General features: G+C 56.4%; 1 protein-coding gene and 1 pseudogene across 6 annotated transcripts in view, besides 3 other annotated features; one reads left to right on the forward strand and one right to left on the reverse strand.

The window, feature by feature from the left end:
- CACNA2D2 (calcium voltage-gated channel auxiliary subunit alpha2delta 2) overlaps positions 1 to 14,061 on the reverse strand; it is a 141,632-nt gene that overhangs the window by 48,354 nt on the left and 79,217 nt on the right. The gene's annotated exons all lie outside the window — the stretch shown is intronic.
- Positions 946 to 1,445: an enhancer, noted in NCBI's record as "H3K4me1 hESC enhancer chr3:50449343-50449842 (GRCh37/hg19 assembly coordinates)". NCBI's record gives its function as "activates a minimal SCP1, AML or CMV promoter by ChIP-STARR-seq in naive and primed H9 embryonic stem cells {active_cell/tissue: H9 hESC(naive and primed)}" and the evidence as "EXISTENCE:reporter gene assay evidence [ECO:0000049][PMID:30033119]".
- Positions 7,290 to 8,226: an enhancer, noted in NCBI's record as "H3K4me1 hESC enhancer chr3:50455687-50456623 (GRCh37/hg19 assembly coordinates)". NCBI's record gives its function as "activates a minimal SCP1, AML or CMV promoter by ChIP-STARR-seq in primed H9 embryonic stem cells {active_cell/tissue: H9 hESC(primed)}" and the evidence as "EXISTENCE:reporter gene assay evidence [ECO:0000049][PMID:30033119]".
- RNA5SP131 (RNA, 5S ribosomal pseudogene 131) lies at positions 8,815 to 8,933 on the forward strand (annotated as a pseudogene).
- Positions 12,956 to 13,500: an enhancer, noted in NCBI's record as "H3K4me1 hESC enhancer chr3:50461353-50461897 (GRCh37/hg19 assembly coordinates)". NCBI's record gives its function as "activates a minimal SCP1, AML or CMV promoter by ChIP-STARR-seq in naive H9 embryonic stem cells {active_cell/tissue: H9 hESC(naive)}" and the evidence as "EXISTENCE:reporter gene assay evidence [ECO:0000049][PMID:30033119]".

The following is a 14,061-nucleotide window of genomic DNA, read 5'->3' on the forward strand; positions in this document are numbered from 1 at the left end:
GCATATGGTGTCTGGGTCCTTGCTTTTGGTTCACCAACAACTTTAACATCCAGAACTCCCCTCCTGAGGCACAGGCAGGGAAGGGCTGTTCCTGTTGGGGCTGTGTGTGGGGTGGCTCACTGGGCTGTGGCTCCAGGACCTATAGGCTCCACCACCTGCCCACTCATGCCTGGCCAAATGGAGCTTCTTGGCTATGACCTGTCTGGCCCTCACCCAGGGGACCGCTCCTCAAATGTGCCCTCAATTTGTTCATTGCTTCACCTCCCTCCCAGCCCTCACACCAGCCTGTGATCATTTTGTTTTGTGTTATCTCAACCAACACTACAGTGTGGAATAAAAGGAAAGGGCCTCAGTCTCCAGGGCTTTTCTTCTTTCTGCTACCATGTCCGTGGTCTGCACTTGGTGCTAGAGACATAGGATGAGTCAGATCTGGCCCCACCAGAGTGGAGGGGAGGGGCTTCCGCTTGTCTCCATGCTCACTCTCCCCCAGCTCCATTCCAGACACAGTGCAGCCAATACCAGGCTAGACCAAGGAAATCTTGTGCGCCAGCTCCCAACCGACTGTCCACCAGATGCTTTTGTGATTCTAGTTTTCACTTATGGGTACCTGTTGTCCATATGTGACTGTCACAATCATAGGGGCACAAGGCTGGTGCTACTTAATCCATTTTTCAGAAGGAGGAAGCTCAAAACAATGTAGTGAGTGCTCCAAGTCCACAAACCTGGCAGAAGGAGAAGCTGGAGCCCACACCTAAGTCTGTTCAGCTGCTGAGCCCAGGCCTTCCAAGCTGCAGCCTGAGATGGTCACACCTGTGTGACCAGGACTCCCAGCACTGCCAGCAGCCTCTGCCTGTGGCCCCTGGGAAAGAACGAATGGGGCTCTGAGGCTTGGGGAGGAGCAACATGCCCAGGGTCACACTACAGTCCAGGTGCCAGCTCCCAGACCCTGCTCCTAGCAAAGGTGCATGGGCTGAGGGGCACCATCCTGGAAATCCCCCCACAACCCCCAAACACCTTCCCATGGCAAGCCACGCTGGGCTTCTCCTCTGGTTAGAACACAAAACACTGGGTAGGTCTCCCTTGACTTCCAGGAGGCTCAGGGTGAGCCCATGGGCTCAGCTAGAGCAAGTGCCTAGTCTGCAGGCTGCTCACCTCGGCCTCTGCCCCGTCATTGTTACTCATATTCTGCAATTTTACTGGATGTGCTTTTGAGAAGAGCTAATTAATACTTTGCCAAATGAGTTGGGGAATCAACCAAATTAAGCTATCTCTGCCCACAACCCCCACATCTGGGCAGGGTGGGTTGCCCTGTGAGGCTAGGCTGGCTGTGGGCCCTGCTCTGAGCCACCACCCCAATGGTGGGCAGGCCAGCATCTGGCAGGCGCAGCCGTCTCCCTGGAAAACGAGACATTTCTTATTGAGATAACGAATCGCTCCATTTAGATCCAAATTAACCTCCCCCAATTACCCCATTTTCTACCACATTTCACCAGATCGAAATCCCCTTCTGCCTGCACAGTCACGTGCTGAGCCCCTCCTTGCTCCCAGGTCTCGTGCATCCCAAAGCCATGGGCACTCAACAGCCCTAGGCGGCCAGCAGGCGCCTTCCCTCATTGGCCATGTTTTTCTTTTCTTTTTTTTGCAGGGGGTGGGGAGGGAGAGGATAGGGGTGGGGGAGGCTTGATGCAGCTGCTGCTCTGAGGAGTGGGAATTTCTATTTTATTTTTTTAGCTCGTTCTTTGAAATAAGGATGCAATATGGGATCAATTTTTGATGACAGTGAAGTAAAAGGGGAAAACAGTAGCAATTTTCTTTTCTGAACATGCCCTATTTAATGGAAGGATGTCACCGTGGAGTTTTATCTGGAGGGGAGAGGGCCTGGTTGTCAGGGACTCATGGTCAGAGATGTCTGGCACCATCTCAGCCTGGGGGGGTGCTGGGCACCCCCTCCCTGGTCTCCCGGTGCCCTCTATTAGGGTGACTGCCAGGGCCCAGGACTTGGGACAGGGAGAGGCCGAGTCTCCATCTTCCCTCACCTGGCACGAGGGTGGACCCTCCCCACCTTGTGCTCTGCTGGTCTCAGGCTGCATGAGGAGTCTAGAGCTAGGGCCCCAGGGGATCAGTGTGAATTAGGGTTATAAAATCCCACCCAGCTGCTGCTGCCGCTGCCACCTCTGTGTTAAACCTAGGAAGCGGAGCTGGTTGGGGTAGGGGGGTGGTGGTGGAGCATGAGGAGGGGGAAGGGAGAGGCCTGAATCCTGAGCTGGCCAGGACTGGGGGCAGTCAGGGTATCTGGTGCCTTGTCTCAGGGCTCAGGAAGGAGAGATGGGGGTAAGAATAGGGCAGAAGTGAGGGTGTTCCTCAGTGGGGGTGGTTTTCAGAGAATACTGCAGGGGGAACTGTTGCCTCTTCTACCAACTCTCTCCAACCCCTGACCCTCAGCCCTGGGTCAGAGACCATTAACTGGAATTGGGCCATGGCTGTGTGGAGTCAGGAGGCCTCTGGACCAAGCACTGCGGGACTCTTGAGGCCTCTGCTGGGAGGGTGGGATGCTTCCCCGTTGTAAGTTGCCCCAAGTGAGGTTGAGGTCCCTAGGCTGGCTGAGCATGGTGGCTCACCCCTGTAATCCCAGCACTTTGGGAGGCTGAGGTGGGTGGATCACTTGAGGCCAGGAGTTCGAGACCAGACTGGCCAACATGGCGAAACCCCAACTCTACTAAAAATACATAAATTAGCCGGGTGTGGTGACGCACGCCTGTAATCCCAGTTACTTGGGAGGATGAGGCAGGAGAGTCACTTGACTTTGGGAGGCAGAGGTTGCAGTGAGCCGAGACCGTGCCACTGCATTCTAACTTGGGTGACAGATTGAGACTCCGTCTCAAAAAATAAATAAATAAAAGGCTCCTCAGCTGCATGAAGCAGAAGCCAGGGTTTCGGTTGCCAGGGCCCCATTTCCCCCATGAAACCCACCCCCCTAGTCAGTTTGCCATGCAGCCCCCTTGAAACCTGGGACATCCCTAAAGTAGCTGAGCCAGTCTTGGCCCATTCCTTCTGATGTCTAGTGCCCTCTGGCCATCTGTCTTCCAAAGCCTCCTTTACCTTGCAGTGCAGGGACAGAAATGAGTTAGATAGAACCATACCTCTGAGGCCCATGCAGCACAGCTACAGACATCTCATTCACAGATGCATGCAGTCACGCCAGGCAGCTCTGGACCCGCAAAAACAGCACACAGTCATGCCCAACCCCCACAGGCCCACACAGAGCCCAAGGTTAGAGAGCCACCGAGCCACATACCCGCACCGTGCAAGCGTGGCCAAGCCCAGGTATGGTCCTTACAGTGAACAGCTCTGCCTTCACACAGGGAGAAAACCACTGGGGTCTCTGCAGTCTTCTCATCCACAACCTGTGGACTCTCTAAACAAACAAGCAATTTAAGACCCCAAAAATACCTTCCAGAGTCCTCAACATGAGGTCAAAGCAGGGCTGGCAAGAGCAGACCCTGCTGCCTCCTCTAGGGTAAACCATGAAACAGAAACCAAGGGACAGGGCAGCCCCCCTTCCAAAACAATAGCAGATCCTGGGAGGGCAGTGGAAGGGTGGCAGGCTGGGTGTCTCATCCCAGTGCCTGCCTAGCCCTGTTGACAGATGCCGCCCAAAGCTGCACCCACTACTGCCCTTCCTTCTTCGGCTGTGGCCAGGCCTCTGAAATAATTAGCAATTCTGCTCTACAAAACGCTGGCCCGATGGGATAATAAACTCCAACATCTGTCAGAAGAGCGAGCTCCTATGAAATTGCCAAGAGAAACATTTTTCTCCTCATTCAATTCACATTTAAATCGAAAACAACCCCTCCAAGTCTGCGCCAGGCCGGCGGCGCAGGGCTCCGGGAGCCCACAAGCTGTTCCTGGGCCTGCAAAGAGGCTCAGGCGCACAGTGATCACTCACTCAAATTAACAAATCATTTTATTTAGAAATGAAGAGAATTTGTAAGTGACGCATGGCTTCAGAGGCACTGAGGAGGAGGGAAAGCCAGCCATGGGCCCGTCTTTCCTCCCCTCAGCAGAAAGGCCTCCCGGAGAACGCGGGTCATGGGGGCCAACACTCTCCATCTCCACAGCCACCCAGTGTGATAGGCAGGCTAGGAATCCTGTTGACATTCTGTGGTGGGACACTGACGGCCAATGAAATGCCCAAGGCCCCCAGTGGCTCCTGCTAGACTGAGGGCACAGGCTCCGATGTGAGGGAGCCCAGCCAGGGCTGGCTCTGCCAGAGAAGCAGTGTCCTGGGTCTGCAATTCCACTTTTGGGCTACAGAAGGTGCTGTGCAGAGAGAGCTGAGCCCCGTGTGGGTCCAGGGTTGGGTTTGACTATGGATGAGCTTTGTCAATACAATTATACTCTGGAAACAGGAGTCCTGGAGACTTGAGTTCCAGGCCTAGGGCTGCAGATTCACCATCTGTGCAATGAAGGACACAGACCTGGACTGCTAACGGTCCTGTCACCTATGAGAGCCGCTGAAGATCGGATATCAAAGGCTGACAAATGAAAAAAAAGTTGCTGATAAGCCCTGGTCCTGCCCAGACCCCTCCTTGGGGTTACCATGGGCTCCTGAGGTGTCTGTGTGTCCCCATCAGGTCCTCTGTTCCAGGTTCCCACAGTGCCTGTGTGCCCCTCACCAAGGAACTCACTGCTCTGTCCTGCAATTTCCTAACAGGCTGTGCACTCTCTGAGGCAGGAACAATGCTGTTTGTTTTTCCCCATTCCAGAGGGTGCCCAGCACTTGGTAACTATTTGGTGAATAAACAGGTGAATGAATCAATGAATGAATGGGAGGACCCTGGCTGCACAGACACTCCAGTGCATGAGAAAGGAATGATGAATGTCTACTATGCTATATTCTCACACCTCCGTGCTTTTGCACACACCATCTCCTTTGCCCAGAATGTTGTGGGCATCCGCCTCCTCTGGACGGACAATTAATGGTTTTCAACTTCTTACTGCCGTGCTCACTTGCCCTCTGCTCTGGGCCTCTTCCTGCTTAGCTTCTGCCCTGCAGCCTGTCAACAGCTGTGGTTACAGTGGTGCAGGCATCAGCTGATTTACAGAGGTGGCCACTCTGCACCAGATTTTCTTGAGGTCATGTTGGGGACTGATTCTTCCTTGTCCCTCCTTCGGCCAGGGCTGAGCCCATTTGGGGCTTGGAGAATGGCCCATCTCTGAGAGCTTCCCAGTTGGGAATGTCAGGAGCTGCTGAAACAAACACAGAAACACCCCTGGAGGGTAGAGGGAATTTTGGAGGGGCAAGACAGAAGACAGGACCAGAAGGATGCAGCGTGAGGGGAGAGATTCCCAGGAAGAAAGGAGGAGGGTGAGATAGAGCTAGGAGTGATGGGGCTAGCAGCAGAGGCCCGGCTGAGACCTCTATTTCTCCTATAGGCCACCTTTAGGTGGTACACAAGGCCCAGAGAAATGTTTCTCCTTCCCAAACTGTTATGGTTGTGAGCTCAGAGCTCCACGGCGGGGTGACCCCTGATTTGGCACTCCCCACTCTGGGCTCCAGGGTGCCCCCCTGAGGGGAGGGCAGACAGGAATGGTGGGGGGCTCTGAAAACCCCTGCTCTGTCCTGGGCCCCAGGGGCTGTGCAGAGGAATGTGGAGATCACAGCACATGCAGTGGGGCCACGTTAGACCTAGCTGGGAAGCCAGAAGACCTGGGTCCCGGCTGGAGCCGCGGAGCCACAGTGTGGTCTCGGGCAAGTCTCTTTTCCTTTCTGAGCCTGTTTTCCAGTCTGTAAAATAGAGATCTTCATCTTGGACCTGCCCACCTCTAGGTGCAGAGGTGAGGCAAGTGGAGAAAGGGATATCACAGCTGTGATAGGGCTGCACACCAGGAGTGAAAGTGTGTGTGTGTGCCCATCGGGTGCACACAGATACACGTGGGCATGATGGGCTGAGATGCACATGTGCACATGTATCCCATTCACGTGTGTGTGCATGTCCACTGCAGGTTCCACATGGGGACATGGGCTCTACGTGTGCTCCTGTGGTTGCAGACAGGGGAAGAACAGGGAGAAATGTGTGCCCATGGGTTTTATACATGCACTTGTGGGTGCCTGAAGCATGCCCACATGAGAGCCTGTGAGATGAGACTGTTGGTGCAGCAGGAACTTTGAGGTGGTGGAGCTCTCCCTTCTCCTCCCACCCCATCTCCTCAGACTCTTCTGGTGTAGACACATGTCTCACTCACACACCCCCATACATGCAGGCTCTGCCATTGTGGCCCTGGCCCACACCTTAGCCATACATACAGGCACACATATCTACCCAGCACCATGCCTGATATCCACACAGGGCACATCCCAACCACATGACAACCCCCATGAGCTGACAGACACCCTGCTTGTTTCTGGCCTAGGCAGGCCCTGCAACCCTTGCTTGTGAACTCTAAAGGGCACTTGGGGGGTCTCTTTTGCTGACATCAGCAGCTGCTCAGGGTGGCCTGGGGCTGGTAACCCAGGATGGTCCAGCGCCGTCTGCTGTGCCTACACTGCACCTTTCCCCACCTGCTCCCTCACAGGGCTGGGCAGCGGGGAGGACCCCACAGATCCTCAGGAAGCTGGATCACCGGTGGGTAGGTGGGGCGCAGGCCCAGAGCCAGGAGGAAGGCATGCCTCCTCCTCCTCCTCCTCACTGTCTTCATGCCTGTGCAGGCTCCAGGTTTGCACCTGTGGATGTGGGGAGGGCACCAGCACCCTCTCCTTGCCCCCCTGCTGCTTGTCCTCTGGCACCTATGACAGCCCATTATGCATTCTCACATTACTCATCTACTTTGCTTCCTGCCTGGCCCACAAGGTCCCTGAGGGCAGGACCAGGCCGACCTGTCGCTGTGCAGTCCCCAGCAACTAGTGCAGGATCTGGCACACAGTAGACACTTAGTGTGTACGTGGGGAATGAATGGATGGGTGGAGCCTGGCAGGATGGGGTTCAGGGAGCACCAACATGTGCTACAGTGGGAGGAAGAGCCACACATCCCTGCCTGTATCAGGTTTGGAAATTAATGGGCCCCGCGAAGGGGCCAGATGGGAGGTGGTGGCAGTGCTGTGAGAGGCAGGACTGTACTTGTGCTCCTATTGGCCCAAAGAGACCGCACCCTGCCCTGTGAGGGATCATAGGCTCCTTCTCTGTGATCACCCCCACCTCGCCATCTGCAGAGCCGCAGAAGAGGGCACTGCCTGGGGCTGGACCAGGGAAGGACACACAGTAGGTGCTCAACATGTGTCTGTAAAATGAACAAGTAACACCCCTGCCTTACTCAAAGGGCTTCCAGAGTGTCCAATGCCAGGGTTGAAATCCCTGTGTGGTGTTCAAAGTTCCCACTGCTCTTTCTACCTTCTTGGCCCTCCACTGCCCCGAACTCCAACCAGGCCCCTGTGCAAGCCCCTTCCTGCCTTTGCTTGTGCTATGCCCCTACGTGGCCTGCCCTTCCCTCTTCCTGGCTAATTCTAATTTCACCCATTCCCAAATCTTGCCACAGGCCCACTCAACTCCTTGGGGATGTCTCCCTGAGCACTCCCAGGGCCGGTCAGGGTGTCCTCAGGGTCTGTGAAGCAGGGCATGTGCAGGAAGCCTCAGGAGGGGAATGCAGGGCAGCTTGGGGGGCCAGTGTGCAGGGATCTTTGTTCTAGCTCCACAGGGCCATGGCCGCCTCTTCTCTGCGGCATCCTGGTGCTCCCCATGATGCCCAGCTGTGTCCACTGGCTGCTGCAGGGTGGAGAGGGAGAATGAGGTGGAGGGATGGAGGAATGCAGGGGTGGGGCCCCTCAGAGGCATGGGCCTTGAGGGGGTTCCCCTGTTTCTCCCTCACAGCTGGGGCATGGCTGGGATTTTGAGTCCCTGAGCCTTTGCGGGTATGGAGGGGAGCCTGGCCTCTGGGGGAGGGAGATATGCAACCATGGGGAGCAGCGTCTCAGTGTGGGAGTTGGGGGATGATCCTGGATGAGTCTGTGTGCTCTGGGCTGTATCTGGAAGCCCTAAGATGGAGTTGCTCAGCCTGCAGAGGAGTGGGGGAGGTGAGAGGAACATGGGGAGCTGGTGACTCAATCCCTATTTCCTGGGCCAGGGAGAGATTATGGGAGGGGGAGTCTCAGCTGAAGTTCTCTAGAGGCGGAGCCACGGAAAGAGGCTTAGGCTTTTGCAAGAGGCATCATGGTATCATACAAGGAAGAACTTCCATTTAGTGGGCTCCCTCTCTAAAACAGGGACCTGAGGACATGGTGGCATCTCCCTTCAGAGTTAGGGATGGGCTAACGGATCACTGCCTCGGAAAGGGGGATGGGCCAGCCCTTCTCCAGCCCCATAATTAGAGATGTTGTTCTGGCTGCCTGAGGTCAAGGACCTGGGTCTCTAGCATACCTGGGGTCCTGACCACATGAGCCAGGACCTGACACCATGGTTGGAGCTCTGAGTCGGGAATTCTACAAGGGAAACATTGGTGACCCCGTTGGTGACCTTGAGGCCCATGACACCAAACCTGGGCTGCTTCTCACTTGATGAATAACCCTGTGGGCCCTTCCCATCCTATGACCATTGGGCTCGGGAGTGAACCTGAAGCTACCAGAGTTAAAAGCACCCTCATGGGAAAGTCGGGGCCCCTTCTACTTGAGGAAATCCCGGCCTGTTTAATGGGCACATGCTGTAGCCTTAAGTGAGTATGCAGGATGTGGCGGAAGCACACACAGAGCCCTCAGGAGCTGGTGCCGTTTCCCATATCTGGCAGCGACACCTAGGGTTGGAACCCTCAGACGCCTCCCTGCACATCTATGGCTGTACCGCTCTGAACGTGCACTATCTCTTCTGATCTCAAAAGCTAAGCAGGGTCAGGCCTGGTTAGTACTGGAATGGGAGACCACATGGGAAAACTGGGTGCTGTAGGCTTTAGGGGAAAAAAGAAAAGAAATGCCTCCCCTGGCATGATGGGAAGCCACAGAGGGTGCCACAGGGGAGAGGGTGGCCAGCAGTTCCCTGGGGCCAGGCCCTGCTTCCCCAGGTCCCCCGCGGAGACGCGGAAGGCCTGGCCTCTGCTCCTTGCCTGCCGTCTCTCTTCCCTCCACCTCTCCTTCTAAGAGGAAAATCACAGTGAAGTGAACCTTGTGGGGAGAAAGGAGAAGATTTTTAATTAAAAGTTAAAGAGAATTCACGTCCTGACATCCCGAGGGAGTCGCAGTAAGAGAAGGAGGGGAGCTGATGGGGCAGCAAGGGGGAGAGCAGAAAAGTAGGCCATGCCAGCTGAAGGCTCCATGCATGGTCCTCCCAGCTGCCCCTGCCCGGCTGGGGTCCATCAATGTGGCAGGCTCTGAGCTGCACGGGGCCCTCTGTGCAGATGGGGCCTCAGCAGCCTCTGGTTTTCCATGTGGGGAGTGGTGGGGGCTCAGCAGTGGTGCTGTGGCTAGGGTAGCACCAAATACTGACTTGAAAACAGCTTAAACTGCTGTGCTGCTCCCTCTGCCTGGTGGCCTGGCTGGAGTTGTGATGCTTGGTCAGGGCCAAGGCTTGGGCCACATATGACCCACTGCGGGGCTGTATACATACCCTGTGCATAGTCCACAGCCCCTGGCAGCCCCTTCCTGAGAGATGAACCAAACCTTGGTCAGGGTGGAGAGTGGGAGGGTGTGGGGGCTCCAGGCAGCCCACCAGCTATGGGAAGTTGTCTGACAGGTAGGTGGACGGACAGATGATGGCGACGATCACTGGGGTTCCTGTCAGCTGTGTTTGCTGCATGCCTGGCAACTGGCACAGCCCATCCATGTGTGGCTATATGTGCTGAGTAGAGGCAATGCTGGCGTCCTGGCCCCCTCACCCCTTCCTCCTTGCCCCCAGCCTGCCTGTCACACACATGCCCTCATGTGCCAGGCTGTGAGTGGGAAAGGCCACTTAGTATCTCATTAGTCTTAGCCCAGCCTGGGCCTGGGCAGTTCCCAGGTGTGAATAGGGTACATGGGCACTCCTGGGGCAGGGCTCAGTCAGGCCTGTGCCATCCCTTCCCCTGGGTTCTGGGAGGTCTCTGACACCCTCAGGCCCTGCTCACTGACCTCCATTGGCTCTCCAGGCTCTGGAGCTGAGCTGGGGCATGTGTTGAGGGGCCCTGTGTGCTGGGGAGGGGGCCAGAGCTCACCTGTGAGGTGGCCCCACATCCAGAAATCTTTCTTCATCCCATTCCCTCCTTACCCTTTCCTGGGAAAAGAAAAACGTGGAGGGGGAACTATGACAGACATCATATTTTGCAAAGTGAGCTAATTACAGGGCAGTCACGCAGGGAGATGGGATTAGCAGAAGAATATTTGATAAAAGGGAGCCCAGGTATGCAAATGGGTGGCAGGGAAAGGTCAGGGTCACCCTGAGGAGATTGTGGGGACTGGTGCTTCTGGTGCAACTGGTGCAGTTGCCCCCCTCACCCAGGCCACAGTCACAAGGCTGGGGTGTCACTGCTGTCCATAGATGAAGCACAGATGGGTCCATTTTCTCTCTTTAAATGTTTACTACTAACCTGCTGGGCCTGGGGACAGGGTCTTCCCAACTCTCTCACCTGACTCGTGGTGGGGATGCATCAGCCCAGGGCACTCCTCCCACCCCATGGTGCCCTGCTCCCCAACTCTTCAGCCCTTGGTACTACAGGGACACAGGAAGATGATCTGGGACTCTGAAGCCCATCATTCTAAAAACTATCCCCCAGCAGGGCCACGAGGCCTCCAGCACCTGGAGCCAAGGGTCCAAGGTGCAAACTCAGAAAAGCTTCAAGCCCCTCAGAACTCTGGCCAGGAACATGATGCTACACTTGCACCAGGACCCCAGGATGTGAGTGAGTCCAGGGGAAAGGCCATGCCCTCTGACCCCAAGTGACTGGGAACTGCTCACTGATGCACCCCACCAGTTCACTGGCTGCCTCCTGGGGAGGTGTCGGCAGACATCTGAGGAAGGAATACGAGAGGCAGGCAGGAGGCACTGCCTGCTTCCTGACCATCCACGTTGGTTCCTGGGGGTTCTGCCTTCTCACCCTGCAGTCTGCTCCCGCCAGAGATCCCCTGACCCAAAGGCACTGCTTCTACCCTCCATCCTCTTTAGCACCAGGAGCTGTCACGGACCATCCCTCCCTGGCTGCCTCACCTTATCCTGAGTCAACCCCGACATCCCTGCAGCCCTAGCTCTGGCTTCAGGCCTCTGACCCCTCCCCTGACAACTACAAAGGCCTCCACCCTGACCACCCCACTTCCTGTGGACTGGAGTCTAACTGCCCACCCCAGTTCAGAACTTGGAACCTGGCTCCCCACACAGTGGAAGCTGGAGGCCGCCCTGGATTCTGCCAGATCTTCCACTCCACTCCCCCAGGTTGCCACAGGCTGTTCCCTTTGTCAGAATGCTCCTCCCTGCTCTGAGGTGCAAACTCCCTCCTTCCCTCTAGCCTCAGCCTCAATGCCCCTTCCCTGTGCTTCCAGGTAACTAGGACACTTTTTCACAGAATCTCAAAGTGGAGTCAAGTGACAGGGATCTTCCCTGCCAAGCCCCCTCCTGGAGCAAAGGATCCAAGATGCAAGCTCAGAAAAATGTGAGACCCCTTCTTTCAATAGCGATAGCCACACGGCACAGGCGATCTGCATGCTGACCACACTTCCCCTCAGAAGACCCCACTGGCAGTCCTACCAGGTGGACTCTTACTGCCCATCTACAGATGGGGAAACTGGGGAGAAAAAGGAAATCACTGGCAAAGGCCACAAGGCTGATGGGTCAGTGCTGTAGCTGCAATCTCGCCTGGCGCTTCTCCCTCTTCATCCAGTTGCCTGATCCATGCTGCCCTGGAAGCCGAGTCACCCTCACAGACTCATTTCTGGAAAACCTACTTATGAAGTGGGTGGGGGGTCTTATTTCAGAAGTAAACAGGATTTAGTTGGCCCAGCTCTGCTACGCGGCCAACAGACCTGGTCCCTAAGTGGTGGAGCAGCGTTGGCTGAAGTGAAAGAACCCAGGTTCCCCCCAGACCCAGGGTAAGCTGCTTCCCCTTTCTGGTCCCCTGTTCCCCCATCTGTCTCTGACAGCTGCCCCTCAGTGCCAGTCACCAACCAAAGCTGCTCATTTCTGCCCTCCCCAGGGCTGTGGCTCCCTGACCCCTGGCCTATGCCTACGCAGCTCATGGATGGATCTCAGCTTGCCTGGTTCCTGGTCTCCTCAAGCCCCATCCCGGCAGTCCCATCCCCTGCCCTGACCCTGCCTCACTGGCTATCTGTCTGTTCTTCTGTCCATTTGCTTGACCACCTAAGGCTCCTCTCCTCGGAGGCTGCCAGACCTGATGACTGGGGACACAGGGGAGGAGAGAGCAGCAAGGGCTGCTCAGAGGGATCTTGAATAGAAGGCTGGGAAGCCCCACACTGAATCTTCAAAGACTTCATGGCTGCTGTGCCAGGTAGAGACTGCCTGCCCTGCTGACCTTTTCTAAGTCCCACCCCATTGCCTAGGGCTGCCCCTGCTGGTTTCAGATGCCTGCCCAGCCTGCACTTGGCAGTCCTGTGGGATGAATATGTGAATCAAGAATGGAGAGCTGCCCACTTGTCCACCAACCCTGTCCAGGGAGGGGCTGGACCCTAGGCATCTGGGAGGCTGAAGGATGGGGCGTCTTGCCCTAGCTGATCTCCGTAACTGGGCTCCAGCTGGTGTTGACACAGCAAACATGCTGCAACTCCCATTTGTCAAGGCACAGAGTGGGCAAACACAGGAGGCTGCAACAAAGGGCCCGACAACCGTGCCCAGCCTCTCAAACAAGGGCCCCCAGGCCTGTGCCAGGAGGCAGGAAGCTTCGAGCAGCTGGATACTTTGGCCCTCAGAGATGGGAGGTGGGGACAGGGCCCTTGACAAGGCCCCCAAAGAGGGGAAGGCTGGCAGGAGGCCCTGCAGCCCAGGATTGTTCTACACACGGGGCGGAGCTAAAGGAGGACAGATCCATCTGTCTGCGGGGCCTGCCCCACGCAATACCCCCAGAAGCATCCCTCCCTGGACTGGTGTCACCAAAGCCTGGGCATAAACTCTGATGACAGATCTGTGCGGCCATACCTGTTCCAACTGTACTGGTAGGGAAACTGAGGCTCACAGAGTGTGAGGTTTGCCAAGGGCTCAGTGCTGCTCAAGTGTGAGTGGGGGATGCAGCACAGGGTGTGTGAGGGCTTTGCTTCTTGGCTACCTTCTATGCTCTGGTTCTGGTCATGGGCACCCCGTGCCATGCTGCACCTGCCTAAGAGGGACCCTTGGCCACAGGTTCTTTTTTGGGGCAGTGCAAGGTCTGGACTGTGTGGGATGTGGTCCCTGGATGGGGTCTCGGCTAGACCCCAGGGAGCCCCGTGTACCCCAGGGAGACTGGCCTCACACTGCATCTGCACATGTGCTCTGTGGAGCCTGCCAGTGGGCAAGACCCTCTGCCACTGCATGCATGCACCCCAACACACACGCACGCGCTCTCCACCTCAGGACCTTGGGCCTTCTTGCTCCCTTATTCTCCCTTGCCTAGCTAAATCCTCCCTCCTCCCAGGTCCCCTAGGCCTGGTCAAGTATCCCCATGGGCTTGCCCCATGGCTCCACCCTTTGTGGTATGCATCACTGCCATCTTCAGCAGACTGCACTCCTCAAGGGAGGGGCCTAGCAGGTCTATTCGTGCTGTCCCCGTACCTGGTAACCTACTACGATGCCAGCACACAGCAAGGGCCAGTGCTCAGTAAACAGAAGCTGAAGCAACGGAACCTGAGGCACCCAGTATCCCAGGACAGGAGGAGCCAGGGTCAAGGTGGAGTCTCTTCCAGGAAAACCTCAGGTGCCCCTGCCCGGGTCACCATGGCACCTGGAGCCAGTGAAACCTCAGGGGTTAGCTTGGGGAAGACAGCTGAGGGTCTAGGAGGGTCCCGAGGGCCTTCTTGCCACCCTATCCCCCTACCTGGGTCTGTGGCACTGGCCTTCCCCAGCAGCACCCCTGTAAGCCAAGGTACCTCCCACAGGTACCCACTGCCACAGAGAGGCATCGCTCGCTATG

Source organism: Homo sapiens, chromosome 3 (genome assembly GCF_000001405.40).
Source record: "Homo sapiens chromosome 3, GRCh38.p14 Primary Assembly".
NCBI lineage: Eukaryota > Metazoa > Chordata > Mammalia > Primates > Hominidae > Homo > Homo sapiens.